At 49.0% G+C, this 10,551-nt stretch overlaps 2 annotated features.

The window, feature by feature from the left end:
* Positions 3,514-4,015: an enhancer, noted in NCBI's record as "OCT4 hESC enhancer chr6:31158168-31158669 (GRCh37/hg19 assembly coordinates)". NCBI's record gives its function as "activates a minimal SCP1, AML or CMV promoter by ChIP-STARR-seq in primed H9 embryonic stem cells {active_cell/tissue: H9 hESC(primed)}" and the evidence as "EXISTENCE:reporter gene assay evidence [ECO:0000049][PMID:30033119]".
* Positions 8,726-9,608: an enhancer, noted in NCBI's record as "OCT4-H3K27ac-H3K4me1 hESC enhancer chr6:31163380-31164262 (GRCh37/hg19 assembly coordinates)". NCBI's record gives its function as "activates a minimal SCP1, AML or CMV promoter by ChIP-STARR-seq in primed H9 embryonic stem cells {active_cell/tissue: H9 hESC(primed)}" and the evidence as "EXISTENCE:reporter gene assay evidence [ECO:0000049][PMID:30033119]".

Here is a 10,551-nt window from a genome sequence, read left to right on the forward strand (position 1 = left end):
ACAAACCTGCTCATGTAAAAGGTTTTTGGCCGGGCATGGTGGCTCACGCCTGTAATCCCAGCACTTTGGGAGGCTGAGGTGGGTGGATCACTTGAGGTCAGTAGTTTAAGACAAGCCTGGCCAACATGGTGAAACTCCATCTCTACTAAAAATACGAAAATTAGCTGGGCATGGTGGCACGCACCCGTAGTCCCAGCTACTCGGGAGGCTGAGGAAAGGGAATGGCTTGAACCTGGGAGGGGGAGGTTGCAGTGAGTCGAGATCATGCCACTGCACTCCAGGCTGGGTGACAGAGTGAGACTGTGTCTCAAAAAAAAAAAAAAAAAAAAGCAAAAAGTTTTTAAAAGAAAATAGTGGAAAGACAGAGACCCTAGAAGAGGGAGAAGGCCTAAGGCAATTTCTTCTTCCTCTCTTCCCCATCATTCTTTCAGCCACTGTGGAGAGAGGGAGAGTACGGGGTGCAGGGTAGATGAGAGTAGACAATTCTGATTATTTGAGGAGGGTTTGTGGTTTAGGAAGTGAGCTTCTCACCGATTTTATTTATTTATTTTGAGACGGAGTCTCACTCTGTCACCCAGGCTGGAGTGAGATCTCAGCTCACTGCAACCTCCACCTCCCGGGTTCAAGTGATTCTCCTGCCTCAGCCTCACGAGTAGCTGGGACTACAGGCATGCACCACCATGCCTGGCTAATTTTTTGTATTTTTAGTAGAGATGGGGATTTCACCATGTTGGCCAGGCTGGTCTCAAATTTCTGACCTCAGGTGATCTGCCCACCTCGGCCTCCCAGAGTGCTGGGATTACAGGCGTGAGCCCCGCACCTGGCCTAAAAACTTTTATATTAAGTTCAGGGGTATATGAGCAGGTTTGTTATAGAGATAAATTTCCTGTCACAGGGGTTTAGTGTACAGATTAGTTAATTCCCCTTGTAATTTTTTCCATCATTTATTTACCTTTCTCCACAGCAGCCTATTCACCTAACAATAAACTGAGTGCCCATTATGTGCCAAGAACTGGAGATAAGGATATGAGTAAGGAATCTTACTTATCTCCAGTTCTTATAGCATATACTCATTCTGTTTCTCTTTCCTTTGGCCTAGTTTGAGTGCCCAGCAGGTGTTTCAAGTCACTGATTACGTATCTACTCTGCGAAAGTTGTTTGTGCAGCCTGTTTATCCTCTCCTTTGGAACTTCAGTACTCTTTTTTTTTTTTTTGAGACGGAGTCTTGCTCTGTTGCCCAGGCTAGAGTTCAGTGGTGTGATCTCGGCTCACTGCAAGCTCTGCTTCCCGGGTTCATGCCATTCTCCTGCCTCAGCCTCCCGAGTAGCTGGGATTATGGGTGCCTGCCACCACGCCTGGCTAATTTTTTTGTATTTTTAGTAGAGACGGGGTTTCACCATGTTAGCCAGGATGGTCTCGATCTCCTGACCTTGTGATCCGCCTGCCTCAGCCTCCCAAAGTGCTGGGATTACAGGCTTGAGCCACCGTGCCCGGTGTGCCCTGCTAATTTTTTGTATTTTTTTTTTTTGAGATAGAGTCTCGCTCTGTCGCCCAGGCTGGAGTGCAATGGTGTGATCTGGCTCACTGCAATCTCCACCTCTCGGGTTCAAGTGATTCTCCTGCCTCAGCCTCCCAGGTAGCTGGGACTACAGGCATGTGCCACTACGCCCAGCTAATTTCTTGTATTTTTAGTAGAGATGGGGTTTTACTGTGTTAGCCAGGATAGTCTCGATCTCCTGACCTCGTGGTCCACTGGTCCACCTGCCTTGGCCTCCCAAAGTACAGGAATTACAAGCGTGAGTCACCACACCCAGCCAATTTTTTGTATTTTTAATAGAGATGAGGTTGCACCATGTTGGCCAGGCTGGTCTTGAACTCCTGACCTCAGGTGATCCTTCCACCTCGGCCTCCTAAAATGCTGAGATTACAGGTGTGAGCCACCACACCTGGCACAATTATCTTATTTATTATCATTATTATTTTTGAGACGGAGTTTTGTTCTTGTTGCCCAGGCTGGAGTGCAATGGCACAATCTCAGCTCACCGCAACCTCTGCCTCCTGGGTTCAAGTGATTTTTCTGCCTCAGCCTCCTGAGTAGCTGGGATCACAAACCCCTGCCACCACCCTCGGCTAATTTTGTATTTTTGGTAGAGACAGGGTTTCTCCATGTGGGCCAGGCTAGTCTCAAACTCCTGACCTCAGGTGATCCGCCCACCTCGGCCTCCCAAAGTGCTGGGATTACAGGCATGAGCCACAGCCCCCGGCTACTTTTTATTATTAACATTAAAATATTTTTGTTTAATTAATTTATTTATTTTTAAAATTATTATTATTACTTTTTTTACTTTAAGTTCCAGGATACATGTGCAGAATGTGCAGGTTTGTTACATAAGTATACATGTGCCATGGTGATTTCTGCACCTATCAACCTGTCATCCAGGTTTTAAGCCCCGCCTGCATTGGGTATTTGTCCTAATGCTCTCCCTCCCTTTGTCCCCAACCCTATTTTATTTTTTTGAGACAGAGTCTCCCTCTATTGCTCAGGCTGGAGTGCAGTGGTGTGATCTCAGCTCACTGCAACTTCCACCTCCCAGGGTCAAGCGATTTTCCTCTCTCAGCCTCCTGAGTAGCTGGGACTACAGGTACACACCACACACCTGGATGATTTTTGTATTTGCTTGCAGAGACAGGGTTTCGCCAGGCTGGTCTCAAATTCCTGACCTCAAGTGATCCACCCACTTTGGCCTCCCAAAATGCTGGGATTACAGGCGTGAGACACCGTGCCCAGCAAAAATATTTTTATTTTAAAATTTATTAAATTTATTAAAATTTTATTTTAAAATTTCACCATTTACAAAAAGTGAAATGATCAGATCTTTAGCAAATCCATCAATGAATTTTGACAAGTACATGTCACCCACACCCCTGTCAAGATATAGAAAGTTCTCTTTGCCCTCTTTGATTCTGCCCTACCCCTGAGTAGCCATGGATCTGATGACTATCACTATAGAGCAGTTTTTCCTAATTTTTTTTTTTTTTTGAGATGGAGTCTCACTCTGCCACCCAGGCTGGAGTGCAATGGCACGATCTCGGCTCACTGCAACCTCTGCCTCCTGGGTTCAAGAGATTCTCCTGCCTCAGCCTCCTGAGTAGCTGGGAGTACAGGTGTGAGCCACCATGACTGGCTAATTTTGTACTTCCAGTAGAGATGGGGTTTCGCTATGTTCACCAGGCTGGTCTCAAACTCCTGACCTCAGGTGATCCACCCGCCTCGGCCTCCCAAAGTGCTGGGATTACAGGTGTGAGCCACTGTGCTGGGCTGCCTGTTTTAAAACTTCCTATAAATGCATGCATAGGTATGGCCTCTTTTGTGTCTGGCTTTTTGTATTTGGCATAATATCTATGTAATCCATCCATGTTGTTGCACCTATCAGTAGTTCATTCTTTCTTTAAAAAAAATTTTTTTTTTTAAATTTTGAGACAGTCTCACTGTCTTAGGCTGCAGTGCAGTGGTGAGATCTCAGGTCACTGCAACCTCCACCTCCCAGGTACAAGCATTTCTTCTGCCTCAGCCCCCTGAGTAGCTGGAACTACAGGTGTGTGCACCACCACGCCTGGCTAATTTTTGTATTTTTAGTACAGATGGGATTTCCCAGCTACTCCAGAGGCTGAGGCAGGAGAATCACTTGAACCCAGAAGGCAGAGGTTGCAGTAAGCCGAGATCGCACCACTGCACTCTAGCCTGGGCGGCAAGAGTGAAACTCTGTCTCAAAAAAAAGCCAGGTGTTGTGGCTCACACCTGTGGTCCCAGCTAGTGGGGAGCCCAAGAGTTCAAGCCTTCAGTGAGTGGTAGTCATACTAGTATACCCCAGCCTGGGTGACAGAGTGAAACCTTGTCTCAGAAAGAAAAAAAAAACAAGATGAAGGAAAGCATATGTAGTTTGCTAAAATTTATGTGGAAAGAGGGAAATTATATGTATATACACACACACTTATATTTGCTTGCATATGCATAAAACGTCTAAGTTTGTTTGGTTTTTTTGGGACAGAATCTGACTGTCACCCAGGCTGGAGTGCAATGGTGCAATCTCAGCTCACTGCAACCTCCGCCTCCCGGGTTCAAGTGATTCTTCTGCCTCAGCCTCCCAAGTAGCTGGATTACAGCCTTCTGCCACCATGCCCACTAATGTTTTGTATTTTTAGTAGAGACAGGGTTTTGCCATGTTTTCCAGGCTAGTCTCGAACTCCTTACCTCAGGTGATCCGCCCGCCTCGGCCTCCCAAAGTGCTGGAATTACAGGCGTGGGCCACCAAGCCCGAACAAATGTCTTAAGTTTGTTTTCTTTCTTTCTTTAATTAATTAATTTATTTATTTATTTTTCGAGACGGAGTCTTGCTCTTGTCGCCCAGGCTGGAGTGCAATGGCAAGATCTCGGCTCACTGCAACCTCTGCCTCCCGGGTTCAAGTGATTCTCCTGCCTCAGCCTCCCAAGTAGCTGGGATTACAGATGCCCACCACCACACCCGACTAATTTTTGTATTTTTAGTAGAGACGGGGGTTTCATCATGTTGGCCAGGCTGGTCTCGAACTCTTGACCTTGTAATCCACCTGCTTCGGCCTCCCAAAGTGCTGGGATTACAGGCTTGAGCCACTGCACCCGGCCAAGACAGAGACTTTTTGCCTTTTGAACCTTTTGAATTTTTAACCAAGTGAAAACACAAAAGGTAATTCCAAGGAGGAAAAAAACCCAAAAAACTCATAGTGAAAATTTAAGAAAAAAACTCAGCCTGATAGAATTCTCTTACCTTCATTAAGAGAAAACAAAAATTGTAGCTGGGGCCAGGCGCGGTGGCTCACGCCTGTAATCCCAGCACTTTGCGAGGCAGAGGCAAGCGGATCACGAGGTCAGGAGATGGAGACCATCCTGGCTAACACGGTGAAACCCTGTCTCTACTAAAAATACAAAAAATTAGCCAGGTGTGGTGGCGGGCACCTATAGTCCCAGCTACTCAGGAGGCTGAGGCAGGAGAATGGCGTAAACCCGGGAGGCAGAGCTTGCAGTGAGCCAAGATCGTGCCACTGCACTCCAGCCTGGGTGACAGAGCGAGACTCCATCTCAAAAAAAAAAAAAAATTGTCTAAAAATTATATCACTCCTTTTTTTTTTTTTTTTTTTGAGATGGAGTCTTGCTGTGTTGGCCAGGCTGGAGTGCAGTGATGCAATCTTGGCTCACTGCAACCTCTGCCTTAAGAGCTCAAGCAATTCTCTTGCCTCCTGAGTAGCAGGGACTACAGTTGCATGCCACCATGCCCAGCTAATTTTTGTATTTCTAGTAGAGATGGGGTTGCACCATGTTGACTAGGCTGGTCTTGAACTCCTGACCTCAAGCGATCCACCGTGGCCCACCCTCAGCCTTTCAAATTTCTGGCATTACAGGCATGAGCCACTGCTCCCAGCCAAACCGCAGTCTTTACAAGGGATTCTTTTTTTTTTTTTTTTCTGATGGAGTTTTGCTGTTGTTGCCCAGGCTGGAATGCAAGGATGCAATCTTGGCTCACTGCAACCTCTGCCTTCCATGTTCAAGTGATTCTCCTGCTTCAGCCTCCCCAGTAGCTGAGATTACTGGTGCATGCTACCACACCCGGCTAATTTTTAGTAGAGATGGGGTTTCACCATGTTGGCCCGGCTGGTCTCGAACTCCTGACCTCAGATGATCCACCCTCCGCGGTCTCCCAAAGTGCTGTGATTACAGGTGTGAGCCACCATGCCTGGCCTTTACAAGGGATTCTAATGGTCTAATGCGACAGTTGTGGCTTCAGTGAGCTCAGGGTGCCCTCTGGTGTCCATGTGGGCCCAAGGATGTGATATTTAGAAAAAACACTTGTAATTCTGGGGGACATGTAATTGAAGCCACTTGCCAACTTTTCAAGATTCTTATTTATTTATTTATTTTTTTTTTTGGAGACAGAGTCTCGCTCTGTTGCCCCATCTGGAGTGCAGTGGTGCAATCTTCTCGGTTCACTGCAACCTCCGCCTCCCTGGTTCAAGCGATTCTCTGCCTCAGCCTCTGGAGTAGCTGGGACTACAGGTGCATGCCACCATGCCTGGCTACTTTTTGTATTTTTTGCAGAGACAGGGTTTCACCATGTTGGCCAAGGTGGTCTGGAACTCCTGGCCTCAAGTGATCCATTGGCCTTGGTCTCCCAAAGTGCTGGGATTACAGGTGTGAGCCACCATGCCCGGCCTTTTTATTTTATTTTATTTTATTTGAAACAGAGTCTCACTTTTTTGCCCAGGCTGGAATGTTGGTGGCCTGATCTCTGCTCACTGTAACCTCCACCTCCCGGGCTCCAGCGATCCTCCCACCTCAGCCTCCCAAGTGGCTGGGATTACAGGCGTGCGCAACCAAAGATTCTCATTCTTAGCCCATTCTGTTATCCCTATGAGTCTGCTAATAGTTGTCATACTAGGTCACCCTGTATTTGGATCAGAAGGTACGGTAGGAGCGCCTAGGGTCATATACCAGGCCCAAACAGCTGAGGGCAGTAGAGTAAGTCCTGCAGGTCAATGCTTCGAGGAGGGGTGGGAAGGATTGAGGGTGTGGGGGCCAGACTGTGTAGTGGCAGGAACCCCAGGTGCTGTGTGAAGCAGAGAGCATGCATCACCCTCTGACCCACATTCAGTTTCTTCCTAGGTGTCTGCAATTCCCGGGACTCCCAAGGAATTCAAATGCTGCAGCCTTGGGCTTGCGAATTCTCCAGGATGGGCAGAGTATGGTCTTATTTATCCTACACTTCTGCCTCATAGTGCTCTCCCAGTCCTCTTCTGTTATTAGAGATCAAACCAGGTTGCTTTAGGGCAGTGATTCTCAAAGTGTAGTCCTGGGACAAACAGCACTGGCATCACCTGGAAACTTGTTAGAAATGCAATTCTCAGCTGGGCGCAGTGGCTCACGCCTGTAATCCCAGCACTTTGGGAGGCTGAGGCGGGCGGATCACCTGAGGTCAGGAGTTCGAGACCAGCCTGGCCAACATGGTGAAACCCTGTCTCTACTAAAAATACAAAAAATTAGCCGAGCGTGGTGGCAGGCGTCTGTAATCCCAGCTACCTGGGAGGCTGAGACAGGAGAATCACTTGAACCCGGGAGGCGGAGGTTGCAGTGAGCCAAGATTGCGCCATCGCACTCCAGCCTGGGGGACAATAGCAAGACTTCGTCTCAAAATAAATAAATAAATAAATAAAAAAGGAAATGCAATTCTCTGGCCTGGCCCACACATATTATATCAGAAACTGCAGTTTAACCTCCCCCCACCCCTGGAGAATTCTGCTTTTCGAATCAGGCCTTTCTCTTTTTCTGTCTGTCTTAAGTCTCAACATTGAGTAGCTGTGATTTTGGAATAGTCAGATGTGGGACACCCTTTCTTGCCAGGAAGCATCTGGCTCCTCAGTCAGCTTAGTCTGATTCTTGGCCTGGCCCAGGGAAAGAAATTCATGTTCTGGATTCTGAGCAATGCTCTCTTGTCCCAGGTGCCTGTTGGGCTCCTACTTACACCTCAAAACATAGCTTGAACATTGTCTCTTTTGTGAACTTTCTGTGACTCCTAGGTCAGAGAAGATGGTCTACTTGTGAGTTTGCAAAGCATGTGTACATGTCCTGCCAACCATTAGTGTTACAATTTCCTGACTGATCTCTGCCTGAGCAAGACTGGGACAACCTTGAGCGCAAGGGGGGTTTGGTTCCTCTTACCTCAGCCCCAGCTCCTTAAACACAATGCCTGGCACGTGGTAGGTATTTGATAAATATTTATTCAATGAAGGAACTGCCTGCAATGGCCTGGTAGACAGGAAAGCGGAATGAAAGCAGGTCAAAAGTGGCTGGGAGAAGATTTTCTAAATCCCGATGTTGGGCACAGGGACCCCTGAAGTTTTCTTTTGGAACCTTCCTATCTGTCTTGTTCTCCTCTCACCAGGCACATCCCTGCCCTCCAGAGCCCACTTAGTCACACACTACCTTTCAGGACTACCTTCCACATCAGCCAGGTGCAAACCCCACAATGACTTCTGCCATGGCTCCCAATGCTTGGCTGCAACTCTGAGGCCAATTTCAGTGAGAGTAAGGAGCTTATCCAATGGAAGTGTCACTAGGAGTGACAATGGCTGGCTTGAAGATTAGGGAAATAGTGTCTACATTTCAAAAGAGAAGACTGCTCCACAAGGAATGTACAGTTTTGATATGTGCAGGGCTCAGGTCTTCAGGGGATAAATAAGTTCCTAAATGCGCCATCAACAGGAATTTCCTTCAGGATAAATAGGAAAAGAACATTTAGGCTTTTTAATTAAAATTTTATTTTACATGTTTTTAAAATTCACAATAGATATTTTATCCTAAAATAAAGTAAAACCGAGAGGTGACAGCGTGCTGGCAGTCCTCACAGCCCTCGCTTGCTCTCCCCGCCTCCTCTGCCTGGGCTCCTACTTTGGCGGCACTTGAGGAGCCCTTCAGCCCACCGCTGCACTGTGGGAGCCCCTTTCTGGGCTGGCCAAGGCCGGAGCCCTCTCCTTCAGCTTGCGGGGAGGTGTGGAGGGAGAGGCGCGAGCGGGAACCGGGGCTGTGTGCCGCGCTTGCCGGCCAGCTGGAGTTCCGGGTGGGCGTGGGCTTGGCGGGCCCCGCACTCGGAGCAGCCGGCCAGCCCTGCTGGCCCCTGGCAATGAGGGACTTAGCACCCGGGCCAGCAGCTGCGGAGGGTGTACTGGGTCCCCCAGCAGTGCCAGCCCACCAGCGCTGCGCTCGATTTCTCACCGAGCCTTAGCTGCCTTCCCGCGGGGCAGGGCTGGGGACCTGCAGCCCGCCATGCCTAAGCCTCCCACCCACTCCAAGGGCTCCTGTGCGGCCCGAGCCTCCTCGACGAGCACCACCCCCTGCTCCACGGCGCCCAGTCCCATCGACCACCCAAGGGCTGAGGAATGCAAGCGCACCGTGCGGGACTGGTAGGCAGCTCCACCTGCAGCCCCGGTGCGGGATCCACTAAGTGAAGCCAGCTGGGCTCCTGAGTCTGGTGGGGACGTGGAGAGTCTTTATGTCTAGCTCAGGGATTGTAAACACACCAATCAGCACCTTGTGCCTAGCTCAGGGTTTGTGAGTGCACCAATCCACACTCTATCTAGCTGCTCTGGTGGGGCCTTGGAGAACCTTTATGTCTAGCTCAGGGATTGTAAATACACCAATCGGCACTCTGTATCTAGCTCAAGGTTTGTAAACACACCAATCAGCACCCTGTGTTTAGCTCAAGGTTTGTGAATGCACCAATCTACACTCTGTATCTAGCTGCTCTGGTGGGGCCTTGGAGAACCTTTGTGTCCATACTGTGTATCTAACTAATCTGATGGGGACTTGGAGAACCTTTGTGTCTAGCTCAGGGATTGCAAACGCACCAATCAGCACCCTGTCAAAACAGACCACTCGGCTCTACCAATCAGCAGGATGTGGGTGGGGCCAGATAAGAGAATAAAAGCAGGCTGCCCGAGCCAGCAGTGGCAACCCAGTCGGGTTCTCTTCCACACTGCTAAAGCTTTGTTCTTTTGCTCTGCAATAAATCTTGCTACTGCTCACTCTTTGGGTCCATAGTGCTTTTATGAGCTGTAACACTCACTGTGAAGGTCTACAGCTTCACTCCTGAAGCCAGCAAGACCAAAAGCCCACCGGGAGAAACAAACAACTCCAGACGTGCCGCCTTAAGAGCTATAACACTGACCGCAAAGCTCTGTAGCTTCACTCCTGAGCCAGCGAGACCACGAACCCACCAGAAGGAAAAAACTCCGGACACGTCCGAACATCAGAAGGAACAAACTCCAGACGCGCCACCTTAAGAGCTGTAACACTCACCGCGAGGGTCCACAGTTTCATTCTTGAAGTCAGTGAGATCAAGAACCCACCAATTCCGGACACAAAACTTGCTTAATTACAGAAAATATGAAAAGTATATAAAAGCAGGGTCTCACTCTGTCGTCCAGGCTGGAGTGCAGTGGTGTGATCACGGCTCACTGCGACCTCAAACTCCTGGTCTCACACGATCCTCCTGCCTCGCCTCCGAAAACTCTAGTTTTACAGATATGAACCATAGCGCTAGCTCTTACTGTCTTTCTTCAACACGTCCTCCCATCCTTCCCTCCTTTCTCCACTCTGCATTTGACCCCGGTGTATTCCAGCCTCCAGGCCAACACACGTGACCACGTCTGCCTGGGGCAGTTGAAGTAAAGGACGCGAGGCGGCGCTGTCACCGCATTCTGTGAACCGCAGCGCTCTGGGTCCCTCCCGCTGGTCTAGTATCATTTCAGTGAACGTCACTCTACATTTTTTGTGTGTGTGTGAGATGGAGTCTCTGTCGCCCAGGCTGGAGTGCAGTGGCGCGATCTCGGCTCCCTGCAAGCTCCGCCTCCCGCGTTCAAGCCATTTTTCTGCCTCAGCCTCCGAGTAGCTGGGACTACAGGCGCCTACGACCACACCCGGCTAATTTTTGTATTTCTAGTAGAGAAGGGGCTTCACCATGTTGG

This window comes from Homo sapiens, chromosome 6 (genome assembly GCF_000001405.40).
Source record: "Homo sapiens chromosome 6, GRCh38.p14 Primary Assembly".
Taxonomy (NCBI): domain Eukaryota; kingdom Metazoa; phylum Chordata; class Mammalia; order Primates; family Hominidae; genus Homo; species Homo sapiens.